Source organism: Homo sapiens, chromosome 8 (assembly GCF_000001405.40).
Source record: "Homo sapiens chromosome 8, GRCh38.p14 Primary Assembly".
In the NCBI taxonomy this organism is placed as follows: Eukaryota; Metazoa; Chordata; class Mammalia; order Primates; family Hominidae; genus Homo; species Homo sapiens.
This window is the reverse complement of record NC_000008.11, coordinates 133642743-133648270: the sequence shown is the minus strand read 5'-3', so window position 1 is coordinate 133648270 and position 5528 is coordinate 133642743. Positions and strand designations below refer to the sequence as shown.

Here is a 5528-nt window from a genome sequence, read left to right as displayed (position 1 = left end):
GCTGTGGCAAACACCTATAGTCATAATCAAAATAATAAGCAAAGGCCATTGTCTTAGTTCATTTTGCACTCCTATAAAGGAATACTTGAGGCTGGATAATTGATAAAGAAAAGAGGTTTATTTGGCTCACAGTTCTGCAGGTTATACAAGAAGCATGGCACTGTCATCTGCTTCTGGTGAGAGCCTCCAGCTGCTTCCACTGATGGTGGAAGGGGAAGGGGAGCTCGCTGTGCAAAAATCACATGGTGAGAGAGGAAGCAAGGGTTAAGGAATGGGGAGGTACCAGGCTCTTTTTAACCACCAGCTCTTGCAGGAATTAATAGAGCAATAAATTATCACCAAGAGGACAGCACCAAGACATTCATGAGGGATCCACCGTCACAACCCAAACACCTCCTTTAGGCCCCACCTTCAACGTTGGGGATCAAATTTCAACATGAGGCTTGGCAGAGGAATGTCTAAATGATAGCAACCATCTATAACTTATCTATCCATTCTACCATTTAATGCTCAGCAGGTCCTTCCTTAAATCCTACCTAAATTTCTCCACTGCTGCTGAACGTATAAACCAGCAACCTACCATGTGACAGTGGCCCCAATCGGAAATGTGTAGAGTCTCATGAGTAGAACATTTGCTCTGAGCTCACATTGGTCTACTTTATAACAGCTTGACTCTGAGTATGTCACTCAAATCTCTTGAGCCTCAATTTTGTCCTTTTAAAACGGGAATAATATTGTCTCTCTTAGAATCCTGTTTTGAGAATCATTTCCAGAGCAATATATGCAATACATCTGGCTCATAGAAGTTGTGTATTAAATGACAGCTCCTTTCCATGTATTCTAATGGATTTTACCATTTAAGGAAAAGCATATTTTTTAAACTAAAGTTTTTTTCAGCTTATTATTTTGTATCCAGGACCATGATAGCTATTAAGTGTTTTGGGCTTCTCTGTCTCCAGAGACATTTTATGATGCCAATTAGAAGTGTAAGTATATTGAGATTAAAAGGTAATGACTAGCAAAATGAATCACGGCTTCCCTACTTACACCCAACTTGCTACTCCTGAAGCTCATCTCCAAATACCTTACTATCTAGGGAAAAAAAAAAAAAAATTCTAGGGTCAACGGAATATCAGAATTTTATAATTCATAATCATTTGAAGACCTCTGGGGAGAGGGGCGTTCTGTTTCTACAAGGAAACTCATTTATGTTAAACTTTTGTACAGGCCGGGTGTGGTGGCTCACATTTGTAATCCCAGCACTTTGGGAGGCCGAGGCGGGTGGATCACCTGAGATCAGGTGTTCTAGATCAGCCTGACCAACAAGGTGAAATTCTGTCTCTACTGTAAGTACAAAAATTAGCCAGGCGTGGTGGCAGCCTCGTGTAGTCCCAGCTGCTAGGGAGGCTGAGACAAGAGAATTGCTTGAACCCAGAGGTGGAGGTTGCAGTGAGCTGAGATTGTACCACTGCACTCCAACCTGGGCAGAGCAAGACTCGGTCAAAAAAAAAGAAAAATTCTTTGCACAGACAATGTTGCCGTCTTTATTAGCATGGAAATGTGACAACATGAAAATAATAATTAAATCTTAGGTAGCTGAGGAGATTGAGTCAGAAATGGGATTAGCCAAGGACCGGATTTAGTTTTACATGCACTGATCTCCCATATTTTGTTATGACACACACAGAAGTCTCTCAATAAACCTGTAGATGCATTGATGAATTCATGCTTCTGTTGATGAAATTATATTTATTTTTCCTTTCAGTTCTTTTCTGCCTGTTTGGTCCCTTTTTTCTATGTCCTTCTCTCCAAAGACCATAGGCATAAGAATAAAATTATCTAATTTAATTTTATGACTGTGAATAAGTTTCCTATCTTCTCCAAAAACCACTTTTCTCCTCTGTAAATGGGATAAGTAATGCCTACTTCCCAACCTCATCTATTTTGTGCCTGTTACCGCCTCCTTAGCTCAGGCCGTTTCTCCCTCCTGGATTATTGCAGCTGTGGCCTATCTTGTTTTCCACCCTCTAGAATTAGCCTCACTGCCTCTTCGCTTCCCATCCCACACCACCCATTGTTGCTGGAGTGTTCTTTTGGCTATGCAATCTGGCCTTGTCAAGCGCCTTCATAAGTCTGTCTCCAGTAGAAGGGACCGGCCACCAGGAGGCGGAATGCTGAAGAAGGACTGGGTAGACCTGGAGCCCATCCCCAGCTCACCACTCCTGCCCCTCCCACTCCTTTACTCTTTCACTTCACGTTCCAGCCATGTGGGACACTTCCCCCAAACCCGGTGGCTTTCTCACCTCCAAGTCTATGCGTGTGCTCTGTTCTCTTCCTGAATAATTCCTTTTTGTGGGAGGGAAATCAACTTAGAAATCTACTCTTCCAAGAAGCCTCCCCTGACTGCTCCAGGTTTGATTAGGGTCCTGTCTTATGTGACTCAGAGCCCTCTGCCCTGACAGCATCCAGGAGCTCTTCCTGCTGTTTGAGGTCCCATCTCCCCCTCACTTGTCAGCTCACTTGTCATTCTCACATCCACATAGCATACTGGAATCGTCAAAGTCGTGTTTCAGGAGGGCATGAAAAAAATGCATACTTTGTAAATGGATACATGCTATAATAGACATGTTTGAATATCCCAGAGCCTAAAGCTGGAAGCATCCAAAGAGTAGACTCATTCAGGGTGGATGCTGTTATGATCGACATTTGGTAATGTCTCTGTTGAATGGCTGAATTTGGTAAGGTACAATTACAAAATAGACTTCTTCAGATGCAGCCTGTCATCACTCCCCACCCCACCCACGAGTGACAGCTCCAGCAGAAACCATGGCTTCGAGCTCCCCTTCAAGAACAACATCTGAGTCAGAGGGCAGCCTGACTGACTTGGCTCAATTTGCTCGAGGTGGAAGTTAAGTATTACTTAAGGCTGATAGTTCAGAGCCTCCACCATGAGTCACTGGTCTCCTCCTGTCTGTGCTGTAGGAAGACACCACCAGGGAACAGTCCCTTCCACCTTCCATGGGTGGGGCCTGCACTTTTCTTCTGAATATCAGCATGTCAGGGCTCCTTTTTTTTTTTTTTTTTTTTTGACAGGGTCTCACTCTGTCACCTAGGCTGGAGTGCAGTGGCATAGTCTTGGTTCACCGCAACATCGGAGGGAGGATGTTTGAACCAAGTTCAAACGATTCTCCTGCCTCAGCCTCCTGAGTAGCTGGGATTATAGGTGCATGTCCACCACACCGGCTAATTTTTGTATTTTTAGTAGAGACGGAGTTTCACCATATTGGCCAGGCTGGTCTTGAACTCCTGACCTCAAGTGATTCGACTGCCTCAGCCTCCCAAAGTGCTGGGATTACAGGCGTGAGCCACTGTGCCCAGCCTGAATGTTAAGAGTTCTGATCAATCTTTGTTCTCCATGCTGGGATTTCATTCAAGTTCTAACACAATAGAAAAACAGTATTTTGTTATCGTAAATCATATTTTAGTAATTTTAGAGAAAAAAGACAGGAAATGTACTTTGATGAGTAATATTTAAATATTACTTCTGCACTTATGTATGTTTTTGTTTAAACTGTGGACAAAGACTTATGGATAAGTACAAAAAATAAATCCTCTTTTGCAACCCAGAACTCATTGTTCAGTATGAGTTTTAATACATATAGCCAGGGAAATTATGATACCTGAGACAGCTGATGGGAGTATTGATAGCCATAAAGGTTGGTTCCAGGACAGGCACAGTGGCTCATGCCTGCAATCCCCACACCAAGGTGGGAGTTTTGCTTGAAGCCAGGAGTTCAAGAATAGCCTGGGCAAGAAAGTAACAAACACCTCATCTCCACAAAAATTTAAAAATTAGCTGAGTATTAGGGCATGTGCCTATAGTTTTAGCTACTCAGGAAGGGGAGGCTGAGGCAAGAGGATTGAGCCCAGGAGTTGGAGGCTGCACAGAGCTTTGATGGCACCACTGTACTGGAGCCTGGGTAACAGACAGCCCCTGTCTCTTAATAAAAAAGAAAAGATTGATTCTAGGACTATAGAATAGATAGTTAAACAGCATGGGATATGAGGGAACGCCTCAGCTGTATTAATTTTGTATTCCAATTTCATGTTGACTTGATACATACATGGCTTTTTGTTTTAAAGGCTTTTATCTTCAGAACATGATGTCTGGAGTTAAAGGTATTGGCATATTCCACACATCTGTACTATTCTTGAGTGTGATCGCTTAGGAATGAATATAATTTGAACTCATTCATGTTAAGAGAGGGTGTCAAATTGAGAACCAGGAAGATCCACCACCTACAGTAAAAATGACTCTAAAGTAAATTGGCTGAAGAACATAGATCCCAAAGATTCTTGATGAATTTTGAAGTCTTCATCAGTATTTATATATTAACACGAGATGAAAGAAGCCGAAATAAAAGAACTATGGACTGACAGGACAACTGGATTAAAATAAGCTTCAGTTTCATTAAAAAGGGCTAACTTGAAGATAAATCTTTTGACTCCAGCTCTTTAGAGGATCTAAAGTGACTTTGATGGACAGTGGAAGAAATCACAACATGGAATTCCTTGAATAAAAATGTATTGACTTTAACTTTAAAAAAATAAAAAATATTACTTAAGAGTAATATTTAAACTTCTATCTCATGCAAATCGAGTCAGTCGGGCCGCCCTCTGCCTTGGGAACCAGCAGCAAGAGGCCAGGGACAAGTGGGTTTGGGCACTCCCCTAGCTGCGGCTCCCACTCTCTCTGCTGCCTCTGGGCCCTCCAGGGTCAGGAGCTAAGAGGAATGAGGATGAAAGACAGAAGAGACAAAAGTCTTTCCACTTAGCTGGGGCAGTGGGTGTCTGCTTGTCAGGCTCACAGTTGCTGCCCCTTGAACTGGTTCTCTAGAGACCCTGACAAGCATCCCTGCACCAAACCATGTCCTGACACTTGAGGACCTGCATTCAGCTTCTGTCTTGGCCAGTCCCCCTGCAGCTACCTTCTTGTGGGTTCCACACACCTAGCGGGCAGCCCTTTTGAGTAGGCTGCACAGGAAACCCATTTATCTATCCTTGCCTCATACAGCTCACACAACACTCCCCTTGTCTCCTCGCAGCTCCGCTTGTCTCCAACCTCTCCCTTCTCCAGGTGAGAGGTGCCACCTGCCTGTGTTCCATGTTTGCCCCAGGACCCTGGGACATGTATGCCAGGTTCTCCAGTACTCCATGCTCTCACAACCCGGTGTACAGAGGCTCACAAGCATCCGCCCTGATGGTGCTCAGCCGCCTTTCTCCTCCTCCTCCTATCTCTAGTGAGGTTCTCTCAGAGCCCAACTCTGGATCTCCTCTTGACACCTTGGAATGACACCTTGGTCAAGAGGAATCAACACCTCTTGACCTCTTGGAATGTCCCTCATGAGTCACTGGCCTCCTCCTACCTGCACTGTAGGAAGGCACCGCCATGCACCAGCCCCTTCCGCCTTCCACAGGTGGGGCCTGTACTTCCCTTCTGAATGTCAGGGCTCAAATCAATCTTTGTT

At 44.1% G+C, this 5528-nt stretch overlaps 1 non-coding gene across 1 annotated transcript; it reads left to right on the top strand.

Annotated features, from left to right (window-relative positions):
- Positions 1 to 3545: 3545 nt before the first annotated feature.
- LOC124900268 (small nucleolar RNA SNORA40) lies at positions 3546 to 3673 on the top strand. The gene has a single exon (XR_007061206.1). It is a non-coding gene; the product is annotated as a small nucleolar RNA SNORA40 (small nucleolar RNA).
- The last annotated feature ends 1855 nt before the right edge of the window (positions 3674 to 5528 follow it).